The sequence below is a fragment of the Homo sapiens genome, chromosome 17 (genome assembly GCF_000001405.40).
Source record: "Homo sapiens chromosome 17, GRCh38.p14 Primary Assembly".
In the NCBI taxonomy this organism is placed as follows: Eukaryota; Metazoa; Chordata; class Mammalia; order Primates; family Hominidae; genus Homo; species Homo sapiens.
Genome location: NC_000017.11, coordinates 17,120,147 through 17,134,240, shown reverse-complemented (window position 1 = coordinate 17,134,240; position 14,094 = coordinate 17,120,147). Strand labels below are relative to the sequence as shown.

General features: G+C 53.9%; 1 protein-coding gene across 12 annotated transcripts in view, besides 4 other annotated features; it reads right to left on the bottom strand.

The window, feature by feature from the left end:
* MPRIP (myosin phosphatase Rho interacting protein) overlaps positions 1-14,094 on the bottom strand; it is a 150,187-nt gene that overhangs the window by 58,403 nt on the left and 77,690 nt on the right. For all 12 annotated transcript variants that reach the window (NM_001364716.4, XM_011523764.3, XM_011523766.3 and 9 more), the window contains exons 4-5: positions 7,388-7,539; positions 2,540-2,624 (exon numbers count right to left, since the gene is read on the bottom strand). In NM_001364716.4, the coding sequence (NP_001351645.2) occupies positions 2,540-2,624; positions 7,388-7,539 (237 nt within the window). The remainder of the gene's footprint in view (positions 1-2,539; positions 2,625-7,387; positions 7,540-14,094) is intronic.
* Positions 2,124-2,628: an enhancer, noted in NCBI's record as "H3K27ac-H3K4me1 hESC enhancer chr17:17034927-17035431 (GRCh37/hg19 assembly coordinates)". NCBI's record gives its function as "activates a minimal SCP1, AML or CMV promoter by ChIP-STARR-seq in primed H9 embryonic stem cells {active_cell/tissue: H9 hESC(primed)}" and the evidence as "EXISTENCE:reporter gene assay evidence [ECO:0000049][PMID:30033119]".
* Positions 5,759-6,258: an enhancer, noted in NCBI's record as "H3K4me1 hESC enhancer chr17:17031297-17031796 (GRCh37/hg19 assembly coordinates)". NCBI's record gives its function as "activates a minimal SCP1, AML or CMV promoter by ChIP-STARR-seq in primed H9 embryonic stem cells {active_cell/tissue: H9 hESC(primed)}" and the evidence as "EXISTENCE:reporter gene assay evidence [ECO:0000049][PMID:30033119]".
* Positions 6,259-6,760: an enhancer, noted in NCBI's record as "H3K4me1 hESC enhancer chr17:17030795-17031296 (GRCh37/hg19 assembly coordinates)". NCBI's record gives its function as "activates a minimal SCP1, AML or CMV promoter by ChIP-STARR-seq in primed H9 embryonic stem cells {active_cell/tissue: H9 hESC(primed)}" and the evidence as "EXISTENCE:reporter gene assay evidence [ECO:0000049][PMID:30033119]".
* Positions 7,225-7,724: an enhancer, noted in NCBI's record as "H3K4me1 hESC enhancer chr17:17029831-17030330 (GRCh37/hg19 assembly coordinates)". NCBI's record gives its function as "activates a minimal SCP1, AML or CMV promoter by ChIP-STARR-seq in naive H9 embryonic stem cells {active_cell/tissue: H9 hESC(naive)}" and the evidence as "EXISTENCE:reporter gene assay evidence [ECO:0000049][PMID:30033119]".

Sequence of the window (14,094 nt, the reverse complement as noted above, 5' to 3'; positions counted from 1 at the left end):
CTGCAGCAGTTTCAGAAGGCTCCCCACTTCCCTAGCAGGAACACGGAGCATGGCAACCAACGGGAAGGAAGAATTCTAACTTGGAGTGGGGGTGACAGTAGACATCCCAGTAAAAAACAGGATTCTTAAGGAAGGAGACACACATGTGGGCCTGGTGGTGCTGGCTGGGCTCACACTGAACTCAGAAGAAAGCCAGAGAAAAGCAGAAGAACCTGGGGGGCTGGGAGATGGAGGAGCGGGCCTCCTTCAGCTCCACCAGAGGAGTGGAGACCCGGGGCCTGCACACCTGGCTGGAAACACAGCTCTGGGCTTCCCAACCATCTCCATCCTTCCGCCCTTCACACCTACATGGGTCATCGTTTCCTTCTGCTCCAGGCTTTTTCCTTTATTGCCTGGAGCCCACGCCTCTCAGGCCACAGGCTTTGGAAACTCTTGTCAGGGCCAAGCCCTTCTCTTCTCCCAGGCCTAGACTCTATTGAGACTCCCGCCCTCAGCTGAAAGGCTGTCTGCTGCTCCCGCAGTGCGATCCTTGGCCCCAACTTCTGGAAGCAGAACCTTCCAGAAGGTCCCACCTGAGTTCCTTAAGGGGAGAAGCTGATTCTTACTGGGCACAACAGGCAGCCAACGCTTCAAGCTCTCCACTGGTTCAATCTGAAACTCTCCCGGGCCAACACTGGGCCATGGAGAAAGAAATATAGGGTCTTGGGTTCTCGCCTCTCCAGGTGCTCTGAAGGTGTGAGGTTTACCCCCAGCCCCACCCTAGGCCATGAGAATGCCTTTAGCATCAGGCTGCATGCAGAGGGGAGGCCTGACCAAAGATCCCATCTCAACCATGGACCCTGCTGCTCCTCTGCAGTGCCCCCACGTCACCCCACAAGACTGACTTGACAAAGAGATGGCCTCTGATTACAATTCAAAGCTTCTGGAAACAAGCAGCCTCAAATGGGATGCTCTCGGGACCAAAGGGTAGAAAGGAGAGACCCCGCAAGGTTGTCTTAGGAGGGGCCTGAGTGCAGAAGGCTAGGAACCCTGTGCTCCAGACTCTAAGAGACCCTCAGTGAAGTGGGTAACCTACCCACCCTGGGATCATGTGGCTCCTTCTACCAACAAAAAAGTTGAAACTTGGTCATGGGTAGCTGTTTTGGGGAGCTGGGTGTCATGAGGGAGGGAGAGCAAGCAAGTTCCCTGGACTGGGCTGAGAGCGGCTTCTGCACTTGGAGTTACCTTATTAGAGGCAGGAGCTCCGCTTCTGCACTGTTTCCAAGGCATCACCATGGAAACGCAGTGTAACCCTAAACGCTGTTATTCTGCCTGTGATTTTTTTGTTTCTCTCCAACTGGGAAGCTTTGGGGGATTTACGTATTAACTGCTGTTCCCCAGCAGGAAGCTCCATTTTCAGTCCCAGGAACCACTCTGTATTTTTCGCTGACTTCTTGCTAGCGACATCTCCTTTCCAGCGGATGTTGGCTTGGGTGTCCCCCACCTGCCTCCCTGACCCCAGGATGGAGGGTGGATGACCATGGGCTGAGAGTGGCCCAGGCTGACTCCATCAGCAGGAGGGCCAATACAGCAGCCCAGGGCAGGTATATCCAAGGGCAGCCCAAGGGGCTGAGGAGAGAAAGGGACCCAGACCAGTGCATGCTCCCTGACCTCTGTAGCCCGTGGGCTGGCTCTCTTCACTTCTGTGGGCCTCTGGCCTTGTGATGCCCAAGGGACCCCCATCCCCACCCTGCTCCCTCTCGGGTGACTATGAGGCTCAGGACTTGGGAAGAGTAGCGTATGGTACAGAGGGAAAGGAATTACATTTACTGAGAACCTATAATAGGTCCAAAACTTCCTTTCATGCTCACAACAATCTTGGCGATTAGGCAGCAACAGGCCTGCTTTGCAAGTTGATTAACTGAGGCTCAAAAAAGGTTACCTCATTCCCCCATGGCCCCAGGAACGTGGGGAGTGTGGTAAGGCGGTGTAGGACCCTTCTATGCCCTAAGCCTTGCACACTGGCCAGGGAGGGAAGGAGGATCATGGCCTGTGGGGAAGGACTGGGCCTTGAGGGACCACCCCAGTCAGCCACGCCCTGCTCAGGTCACATGGGAGTTGCAGCAAGGGCCCCTGTGAGCTCCTTATGGGCCATACCACTCCAGAATTCTCCTCCCCATCCTACTGCATCCGGCTGCCTGCAGGGCCATCTGTGGGTGCAGAGTCCTTTTGACTGTGGCTGCAGGCTGCCCGTGCTGCCCCTCCCCAGCTGCCAGCAGGATAGCGAGGGGAGGGGTCACAGCTGTGTACTGCTAGCTGGCTGGAAACTTCCCTTGGGCAGCCCCAGAGCACACTAGCAGGCCACCCTGTCCCTGTTGTGGTTCCCCTGTGGCTCAGTGAGGATCTTGCAGATTGCAGCCCAAAGCAAGGATGTGCAGAGTTGGTGACTGCCTCAGCCCTGGCCTGACTGTGTCCTCACCCTCTAACCTCAGGGAGCCCTCACTTCTTCCCAAGCCCTGGCTCCACTGAGGGGATGCCATCTGGCAAACCCACTGCCTACCTGTGGTGTGGGGGGCTCCACTTTCCGTTTCTTCTTCTGATTCTGCTTGTTGGTCCGGGGATAGACCATGAGCATCTCCAGCCACCTGGGAAGAGAAAAGGAGACAAGTACCAGGTAAGACCCTGGCACTCGGGGACTAGGAGCCCTGGCCCTTGCCGGGTGGTCCAGGAGTAGAGCAGGGCATTGTCCCCAGTGACAGACTGCTACGCTGGGGCCAGAAGTGCCACAGAGCAAGCCTGGACAATGACCCTGCCACACCCACAGCAGGCTCAGGACACGACACAGACTCCGTGCTGGCAGAGAGGCCTGGCCTGGCCATGGCCTCAGAGCATAGGATGTGTAACTTCCATTACTGACCCTGTCTCCAGGGCCTGGAATTGCCCTAACACTGCTCTCCCAGAGTGGGCTTGGTGAGAGTACAGACGAGCTGTGCCCATTTAGGGCAACAGAGGCAGGTGCTGGCCCTGAGGCCAGAATCTAGGAGCTGTGCTGGTCAAGTTCCCACAATGGGTACTCTTGAGGGACTAGGGTGTGGGGGGTTGCTGAACTCCCACAGTCCCTGCAGAGGGAGGGTGCTGGGCACCCTGGCTTTGAGGAAGGCTGGGCAGAGCTGCCCAGGGACCCATCAGGGATTGTGTGTGGCAAGTTCACTCTGGATAGACACCAGGGGTGCAGCAAGGGAACACAGCAAAAGCAGGCGCTGCCAGCAGGACGACTCTGGATCTGGTTCTGCCACTATCCCAGCACAATCTTGGGTGGCTCCTGGCCCCTTAGGAGCTTCAATCTTCTCATTTCTGAAATCAGGAGCTAGATCAGATCATGGCACAACTACTTCCACCATATAGAATTTTACAACAGACAAAGGAACCAACAGCAGTTGCCTTGCCAGAGCTGCCTGTCAGTCCTGTGGGGGCTAGACGACGGGGGTGGGAGGAGCGGAGGGCAGTGTAGGTCCTGCCTCTGAAGCCCCAGCTCCAGCCCTGGGCCTGGTTGTGCAAGGGCAGCCCTAGTGTCCTCTCCAGAGTGGAAGGAGCCTCAGAAGACACCGCTCCAGGTCTTCTTTCAGCACCAGGGTCCACGCTGGGCCTGCTGGCAGCCTGGGCCCAGGGTTGGGGATGGGGGGGTCTGTACTGCTGTATCCTGCTAGAGATCACACGGGTGCAGCACCCAGCAGCACACTGAGCCTGGGGCAGGAGAAGGGCTCGAGTCTTCTGTGCCCAGAGGTATTTCTTTAATTTGAGGTGGAGAGGAGAGGAGGGGAGGGGGAAAAGGGATAGAGGAGCGAAGAGAGGAAGAGCATGGGGAGGAGGGAGGGAGGGGAGGAGGACAGGAAGAGAGGGAAGGAGAAAATGAAGAAAGGAGGGAAGGAGGGACAAACAGACAAAGGAAGGGTCAGTCACAATCACTGGCTTCTGAGACAGCCTCAGGATGGGTGTGCTGTTGACAGGTGGTGGCGGCAGAGGCCAGGCTTAATGCACGGAACCACAGCAACAGAGCTGAGGGGCCACCCTCAGCCCAGCTCAGCCCACAGCCAGTGATGCTCGATTTGCTGAGAGAATGAATAAACACCTGCAATGCCAGAGATCCAAGCCACAGGTCCTGTGGGTCATTCCTCCACGGCCCCAAAACAAGAAAGGAGGCTGTGACTATCTGCAAAGCCAGCAGACAGGCAGGCCTTCTGAGGGTCCTGAGCCCCTCTCCTCCCTGGTCACACTTCTCATCAAGGCTGGCTGGGAGCAGAGGTCCCAGGAGAGGGCCTCGCTCATACAACCTGGGATGTTCACAAGCCCTATGGGATTAAAGAGGTTTGCCTTTCCAGTCTGCCATGGCAGCTGCCACTTCTTCTGACCACTCTGAGGGACTGTGCCTGCAGAAGGCTGCACTTAAAACTTCACCAAGGTGTGGAGCATGCTGGAGGTGCAGAACCCTGCCAGGTACCCCAGGCCCCTGCAGACTGGCCCAGGTTCCATCAGTCAGCAATGACTAATGGCCTTGCAGGATGGAACCTGGAGGGGAGGGGAGAAGGCTGCACCGCAGGTGCTCTGCTGACTACGTGGAGCTGCTGAGCTCTCCTGGGCTGGCTCCAGCAAGCCTAGGACTCGGGAGGAGTCAGGACAGCAGGTGTCTCATGTGGCCTCAGTCCCATTATGCAACTTAATCTCTGTTCAGACTGCAGTCTGTGGCTGGAGTCGCAGAGATGCAGGGTCCAGGAATAGATGATGGAATGTGTCCTCTGCACTTGGATTTCTCAAGGAAGCCCAATAGGAAGCGTCTAACATCATCCAGATGTGTTATAAATGTTAACAAAACAAACCCCAAGAAGAGAGGAGAGGGGTGTGAATATGGGACTGGTAGGTGCTGGGGCTCCCCGGATAGGGACGGCAGAGCCCGGATGAGTGAGAACAGGGGAGTGGGTAAGGTTAAAAGGCAGGGCAGGGAGAAGGGAAGTCCAGACTTCACCCAGCTGAGAGCACAGAAGAGCTCCCTTGCCAACTCCTACCCAAACCCACCTCGTCTAAAAGAGCTATGTAAAGTGTGGCCCAGAATCCTGGAAGTGGGAACTGGAAAGAGCTGCCAACTTCCTCTACCCAGGCCCAGGAGAGACCCGGCAGCCCACGCAGCTGTCAGGGCTATGCAGAGAAGACCTGGGAAGAAGACTGGGTGGGACTGTCCCCAACCCACCCAGCTCCCAGCTGCCTGGTGGAAGTGTCTGCACCTTCTTAGGGACCAGCTTTGATGTGACCAGAGAGCTCAGACCCAGAATGGCGCTCCAGAGCCTAGGGATGAGGTTACTGGGAAGAGGAGTTATAATGGGAAACAGAGGGAGGCAAGAGAGGGAGCAGAGGAAGGGGGCTGTCAGCGAGGGCAGGAGACAGAGGAATGGGAGAAGGAGGCAAAAGCACTTGTCCCCAGGGTGCATAGGCCACACCTGACTCCCTCACGCAGCTGAGCATCCCAGCTTGTGGGAAGGTGAGGGCGGATCACGAGGTTATGCCACGTGAGAACCTGCCTGTTGGACACGAACTAACGTGGCCCACAACCAGGGCGAGGGGAAGGGGAAGAGCGTCAGGCAGCTTATTCTGGCTTTGGATACGCCACTGAGCCACCACACACGTAGGGCCCAGATGGCATGTGCACCCGGTACCTTGGTCCATTAACGATCTTGTCTACCCAAGCTGCATGGGTATGGCAAGCCTGAATATGCAACAGAAGAGAGCAGAGAAGTGACCCAGGAGAGGGGCTTGGGATGGAGTGAGGACTTCTGGCAGGACTTAAGCTGCCTGCTGGAGGCAGTCCAAATGCTAAACATCACCCTCTCCTAATACCACATGGTACAACACATACCTCTATGTGCTGGTCCTAGAACCAACCCTGCTCCAGACACTCCCCAGCTTGCCCTGGAGACCCAGGACTCCCATCCATCCCACCTGTTACCCACACCCTCCCTGGGACCCAGCTCCTGTGGAAAGGGTGAGGGTTTCCTAGGGAAGCCACCTGGGCAGAGGAAGCCTCGGCTGTGTGCTGCCCGGCCAACAGCAGAAACAGGTGTGAGCCAGAAAGTGCAGAAGGTGCCCCTGGCCAGGCTCCTGTCTCTAGGCCCTGGGTCTCCTCGACTGTACCACGAGGGTTCTTCAGAGGCCCTTGACATTCTTGATCATATGGTTCTGGATTAAGATTGTGGGAGACAGAAGTGCTCCTCCAGCTCGGCTCCAGGTGCTCAGAAATGCAAACCTGCCTCTCTCCAGGGGAGGACTCTAGGGGAGAGCACACCCCCGCAGAGAGCGCCCCCGGGACCCAGCACTGGCTCCTGGACGCCTTGCCATGTGGCCCTGGACTTCCAGCTGTGCTCACTCACCAGGCTTGGCCAGGCTGCAGCTGAGAGGCTAAAGAAAGGCTGGTGCTCCGAGTCATCTGTGTGTTCAAACTCAAGGGCTTCGTATTCCTGATTCCCTCTACTCTGTACTGCTACAGTCAGCCTGGCCCAGCAAGCCCCAGGTTTACTTTCTCCCAGAGCTTCTTAGACTCATGTGCCTCCTTCTCAGCCTTAAGCAAGACAGGGATTCTCGGAGATCCAGTTTGTGAGCTCCTGTCAGGCCCAATGAGCCTGTTCACCTGCACGGACTATGTACGGCTTTTCACCATGGCCCAGGCCATGTGGGTAGCAAAGAATTCCCTGCTAGACTGGGAGCTCTGGGAAGGCAGATGCTGCCCTGGGCTCAGCACTGCGCTCAGGCCCCTGGACTGTGGGCTCTCTCAACCTGAGCCAGTTCGCCACTCTCAGGGGACCTGGGTGAGTGAGACACTTACCCATTCTCTCCACTCACAGAAACCAATCTGTGCAGTGGCAGCAGAGTGGCTCGGGTGTGAGGTGCTGGGGATGTGACTGAGACACCTCCCACCCCCACCACCACTGACAGAGACACACGTGGACACAGCAGATAACCTGGCGCTTTCATAGGTGGTGGAGCCCAGCACCAGCCCTGGAAGGAGGAGCAGCCATCCCAGACTGGGGGAGGGCGTGCCCAGGTCATATGATTCAGGGACTGATCCCCTTCCAGGTGGAGGGGCAGGTGAGTTGGGGGTGTGGTGAGTGCAATGGTGGGGAGGCCCGAGGAGGGTAAGGTGGCCAGAGCAAAGAGGGGCCCCAGAGGCTGCAGGTGGAATGGTGAATGTCCTGATTTCTGCTGTGCTCAGCACACAGCGGTGTTGAGAACAGAGACAGAGCCCAAGAATAGAGGCACACGGGGAAGTAGACAACATCGACACTGCCACAGGGGCAGGCGGCCCATCTGGTGTTGGCCCTGTGGCAGGTGGTGGTGCCTTGTTCCACAGTGCCAGCATACTCACCCACTGACGATCTCCTTGGTCTCCGCCCGGATGAAATGCTCCTTCTCAGGCGTCAGAATACACAGGGAGAACTTCTGGCCCGTGCGGCCCTCCCCATCCACCACATCTGTGCACTGGTTCATGTTGATGGTGCCCTGAGGAAGGGTCGTGGGCTGGAAGAAGGCGGCAGAGAGTCACCCAGAGGCCAGCCAATGGGGCCACAGATGTCGTACAGCCCCAGGCCATTCCTGACCCTCCCAGCCTGTGGGGCCTCTAGGAGTGCTCTCCCTCACTCCAGCCCCAGCTCCTCTTCCTTTGTGCCCATCCCAGGGAGGACAGGGACAGGCCTGGCCTTCTCCAGAGGACACCCAGCTAAACATCCCTCCTACGTGGAGAGCGACATCCCACTTGCACTGGAGGGGATATGCAGGGGAGGACAGGATGGGGACAGCTGCGGTGACAGGGGCAGCTGAGATCCTGGTCTCAGAAGGGCTGCTGATCCCACAGAGAAGCAAGAAAAAGCTCCAGAGGAGGCAGTTTCAAAATAGCAGGGTTATTTTTAGAGGCAAGGAGGGGGCCAGAGAGAAGCCACATCCTTGAGAGCAGGCTGTGGGGTGGGTGCACTGTGCCTTCTTTAGAGGCGGCCAAGGAGCACGCCCGGCAGCCTGGCCCACGGCACCTTCCCAGGGCCATAGCAGAGCCCAGCAAAGGCTGCCACACCAGCTCTGGCATGGCAAACAGTAACTTTTTTTCTTACAGCAAAAACTGTTACACACTGAAATTAGGGACAGAAAACCAAAAGCAGGAAAGGATGCCTTTAAGAAATCCCTACTGAGGCAAAGGGCTAGGCAAGAGGACCTTTATGGAGATGACTTGTTTAGCCCTGTACCCTCTGGCCTCTTTCTTACTCTCCCAACGTAAGGATGCTTTGGGAGAGCAGATGGGTTGCCATGGTTACCACCACACCAGGGGTGCCCCTGTCCTTAACACACTCCACACTGACTCCACCCCACTAATGGACAGCTGCTGGCTTCTCCACTGAGCACCCCCAACAGCCCACCATTTCCTTGTTCTCATTCTTGAAGAAGCAGAAGATGCTTCTGATCCATCTGAGGGGTGGCCTGCAGTTGGGCTGCCTTCCACCCAGAGGCCATCCAGCCTCAAGCTCCTTGCTGACAGTCAATGGGGGCTTGGTCTCAAGAGCAGGATGCTGGGTCTGGTGCCCATGCTGAGCTCAGACCAACCACTCTCCACACCCCGACCTTCTTCCTTTCAGAAACAGGTTAGGTGCAACCTCCTTGTCCCTCCACCTCAAGCTCCTGTGATCTTCCTGTTACTTCCTCTGACCTACTTGCCACCTCTTTCTACACCCCTTGATGCCTGCCTGCAGGAGTCAGACCGGAGGGCTGCTGGCTTTGCAGAGCCCTTGCCTACATGGCTGCTGGCTCTTTTCTCCATGGTTAAATGTCCAGGTCCAAGAAGCCTTTCCTTGTGGGGTCTCTGGACTCAGCCATCCCCCGTGGGTCCAGCTCAGAAGGGAGGTGGCACAGCAGGTGGGATGGAGGCTGGGCTCACAGGGAAGCCTCCTTCAGTGGCTTCACCCTTTCAGCATACACCATTGGCATCCTGCCTCAACACTGACCCTGGGGGGACACGAGGAGGAGCCACATTCAAGCCCAGCTCAGTGCTCTCCATCAGTGGAGTGGCCCGCAGGTGTCTCTTCCAGACACTCTTGGAGGGTCCTTGAGAAGGAGCCAGGAAAGGGAGATGGGTAGGGTTGCTCTGCAACCAAGCAGTGGGTGTTTCTTGAGAAGGAGAGGGTACAGGAGGCAGCCTCAGACCCCATCTTTATGTTAGTCCAGGAAGCCTGGATCCAAGCCCCTGCCACCTTCTGGTTGGGGAGACCCACACTGAGTGCTATGGCCACAGCCACAGGACAGGTGGGCCTTCCTGCCCAAGGTGGGGGTCCTGGCTTTCCTAATCTCCTCTCTCCAGCTCCAGCCCCTTTACTCTATTTGACAGAAATTCTCATCCTGGGCATCCTGGCATAGTGCAGGTGCCTGTCTGAACCCTCTGGGCAAATGAAGGGTTGCTCTGACTTCCCTCTTGAGCCCAACACCCCCATGCAAAAGCGCACCCCACCTCCACCTCCCTAGACAAGGCATCTTGTCTCTCTGAGGTGGACTCTCTTGTTTGCTGAGGAAACTCCATGGACCACAGTGAGGACTGGATGACATGAAATGGTAAAGTGGCCAGTGCACTCGTTACTAGAGTGTCAGAAGCCATCCTGAAGGAACCACTGTGGAGGCAGAGGGGCTTTCCTAAGGTGGCCCTTCCTCTCTGGTCTTTGACTCCCACCCTGGTCCTTGGGACCGTGGTCTCAAACTGCTGACAGTACAGGCCCTGGATGAGCTGTGTATCCATACCATGGTGCCAGTCTATTATGAGTGTGCATGCGTGTGCACACACACACACAGAGACATATGTTAGATGGAATATATCAACAGAAATTCCAAAGTTTTCTTCTCAAGGGATCATCCACCGGCCCCCTGGAGGCACAGACCCCACTTTGAGGCCACTGTTCCAGGGTTCAGTGTCACCAAATTGCTCACTGTCCCTGAAGCCCACTCTTCCCTCTTACGCAGTAATTGTTTGGGCACTTGGCCCCCAGCTGAACAAAGCCCCTGCTCTGCTGCTGAACGTGGTTGTGTCTCAGCCTCACCAAATGAGTATGAAGCAATGCCTTCCACCTCTCCACCTCTCTGGGCCTCAGTTTCCTCATGTGCAAAGTGAGGGTTCTATCTCCTTCCAAAAAGGATTTCAGAAGCATTAATAAAAGGCAAAAACATACCAAGCTGAGCCAGGACTGAAGGAAATTAGCATGTATTAACTACCTGTGTGTCAAGATTTCACAGTTACACTCCCTTTTATGCCCTCTTCAATATTACTTACTGTGAGGCGGGCATCACCTAACCCTATCACACACAGAGAAAGGAGAGCAAATGGGGGTAAATACGTTATCAAAGAAGGGAATATTTTAACTCCAGAGCCCAATCTATTTCCATGGAGGAGGGAAAAAAAACTTCCTGCTCTTAATCAGATGATCTCATTTTTATTTAATCCTGGTATTAACTTTTCGTTTTTTCTTTCTTTTTTTTTTTTTTTTTTTTTGAGACGAAGTCTCGCTCTGTTGCCCAGGCTGGAGTGCAGTGGTGTGATCTCAGCTCACTGCAACCTCCATCCCCTGGGTTCAAGGGATTCTCCTGTCTCAGCCTCCCAACTAGCTGGGACTACAGATGCATGCTACCACACCCAGCTAATTTTTGTATTTTTAGTATTATATTTTTGTATTTTATAGTAATTTTTGTATTTTTAGTAGAGACGGGGTTTCACCATGTTGGCCAGGCTGGTCTCGAACTCCTGACATCAACTGATCCGCCTGCTTCAGCCTCCCACAGTGCTGGCATTACAGGCGCGAAGCCACCGCCCCTGGCCTAACTTTTCTTTTTAACAACAGCTTTATTGAGATATAATTTACATACAATTTACCTAAAGTGTACAGTTCAATGGCTTTTAGCATCATGTTCACAGAGCTGTTCTGCAATCAAGTGCAGAACATTTCCATCTCCCCCTGAAAAGCCATTCGCAGTCACTTCCCTTTGACACCTGTCCCCACCTCAACAACTGCTAACCTGCTTCCTGCCTCTGTGGATGCATCTCTTCTGGATACCTTGCATAAATGGAAAAATCTGGCTTCCATTTAGCATATTTTCAAGGATTTAGCATATTTTCAAGGTTCCTCCGCATTGCAGCATGTGTCAGTCTTTCAATACTTTTTACAGCTGAATAACGTTCCATTGTGCGGCTATACCGCATTTTGTTTATCCATTCATCTGTTGATGGACATTTGGACTGTTTCCATTTTTTGGCTACTGTGTATAGTGCTGCTGTGCACATTCCTGTACAGTGCTCCTGTGCTCTCATTTCTCTTGGGTGTGTACCTAGGAGCAGAAGTGCTGGGTCATATGGAAACTATATGTTTAACTCTGAGGAGCTGCCAGACTATTTCCCAAAGTGGCTGTGCCATCTCACATTCCCACTAGCACTGCGTGAGGGTTTGGGACTAACTTTTTAAATTGTATTTATGTACTGCTTCTAACCAGCACTCTTGGAAGACAGGTCCAGGTACGTACTGAGGACCTGCTATAAAATAGCTCCCTTTGGCCAGGCGCAGTGGCTCATGCCTGTAATCCCAGCACTTTGGGAGGCCAAGACGGGCGGATCACGAGGTCAGGAGATCGAGATCATCCTGGCTAACACGGTGAAACCCTGTCTCTACTAAAAATACAAAAAATTAGCTGGGCGTGGTGGCAGTCGTCTATAGTCCCAGCTACTCGGGAGGCTGAGGCAGGAGAATGGCGTGAACCCGGGAGGCGGAGCTTGCAGTGAGCCGAGATTGCGCCACTGCACTCCAGCCTGGGTGATGGAGCGAGATTCCATCTCAAAAACAAAACAAAACAAAACAAATAAACAAAAAAACAACAAAATGAAAACAAAAAACAGCTCCCTTCGATTGTGGAGAGAAAGGAACACTTATACACTGTTGGTGGGAGTGTAAATTAGTTCAGCCATTGTGGAAGACAGTGTGGCAATTCCTCAAAGACCTAAAGATAGAAATACCATTTGATGCAGCAATCTCATTACTGGGTATATACCCAAAGGAATATAAGTCATTCTATTATAAAGACACATGCATATGTATGTTCACTGTAGCACTATTCACAATAGCAAAGACACGGAATGCCCATCAATGATACAGACCAGAGAAAGAAAATGTGATATATATACACCATGGAATATTATGTAGTCATAAAAAAGAATGAGATAATACCCTTTGCAGGGACATGGATGGAGCTGGAGGCCACTATCTTTAGCAAACGAACACAGGAACAGAAAACCACACAGCACATGCTCTCACTTGTAAGTGGGAGCTAAATGATGAGAACATATAGACACATGGAGAGAAACAACACACACTGGGGCCTTTCAGAGTGGGGAGGGTGGGAAGAGGGAGAAGATCAGGAAAAGTAACTAATGGGCATTAGGCTTAATATCTGGGTGATGAAATAACCTGTACAACAAACTTCCATGACACAACTTTACCTATGTGACAAACCTGCACTTGCACCCCTGAACTTAAAAAAAGAAAAAGAAAAAGAAAATAGCTCCCTCCAAGTCTCAGTAGTGCAGTGTTCCCCCTTCCCCTGCTGCCGATGGGGAAGCAGCAACAACAGCACCAGCACAGGCGCAGGGCACAATGGTGCTCATGTTTGCGCCCATGCCCTTGAATACCACGCACTGCTGCAAACTCTTCCCGTGTCCTCTCACTGAACATTCCGAACACACTATGAGGCAGGCACTACTGTCACTCTCATCCCGCAGACAAGGAAGCAGACTGCTAAGAAGCTAGGTGCAGTCATGCACCGCACAACGATGTTAGTCAACAGCTCCCTCTATGTTTTGCTAGGTTTGGATACATCAATACTTGCCACTGTGTTATAACTGCTTGTGATATTGCAGTATATGCTGTACAGGTTTATGGCTTCGCAGCAATAGGCTCTACCACAAAGCCTAGGTGTGCAATAAGCTGTACTGTCTAACTTTGTGTAAGTGCACTCTAGAATATTTACACAAGGACCAAACTGCCTGAGAAAACACATTTCTCAGGATGTGTGCCTGTCATTAAACAACGCAGAACTGTAATTTTGATTTAAGGTCACAATGCTAGGAAGTAGCCATGTCAGGATTCAAACCCAGGCACTCTGGTTCCAGAGCTGGTCCCCCTGCTGCTCTGCACTCAGCAGCATTTCCAGACTGAACAGACTCAACCAATGGCTCCAGGGAGCCCCTCAGCCAGCACCTCTCCCCTCCCCTGCCTCTGCCTAGGGGGCAGGATACAACCATCTGTGTCTGGGTAGGCCTGAATCTTGTGCTGCGAGAGTAAGGGCAAATATCTAGGCTGTAACCCAAATCCAGCCAGAAGGAACGCCTCAGCTCTAACGCTGTCAGCAAAGCAACTCTGATGAGCTTCCTGCCCTAATTCTATACCTCCAGAGGTCAGGAATCCAGGTTTCCTAGGAGGCTGAGCTTCACCTAGTTTTGTTTGATTCATTTTCCAAAAAAAGAGACGGCCCTCTGTAGGCCATCGACTCTGCTATGTCACCAAGTTATGGGTTCAGCCCCCACATAGCCCTCCAGCTATCTGGAGCCTCTGGTCCTCTTCTGGGCTCCACCCTACCCCAGCTAAGGGGCAGAGTTGCTACAGGCTGCAGATTGTTTAGGCAGGAGGACACAGGACTCAGGCTTCTCTCCAAAGAGATGAGCACACCCTGCTCCTCCTGCCGGTCCTCTGTCCACAGGCCCATGGGAGGCTGGAAGCTCTGTGCACTGCAGCCAGGGCATCTTGTCAGAGGCCAGAGTGACCTTCCTGGGTTAGGATAATACTGCTATAGCAGCCTCTCCAACCGGGGACTCTCCACCACACCCCTGGCCCAAGCAGAAGCACTTTTGGGAAAACAGGCCTTTGTTTCTTGTTGACCCCATGAGTGTGGGAAGGCAAGCTTCTAAGAGCCAGAGGGAAACAAGAGGAAAGTAAGCAGAAATATGGTGAGAGGCTGTTTGGCGTTATCATCAGGAGGACCTTCCTTCCAGGCAGCTGCTGTTACAGA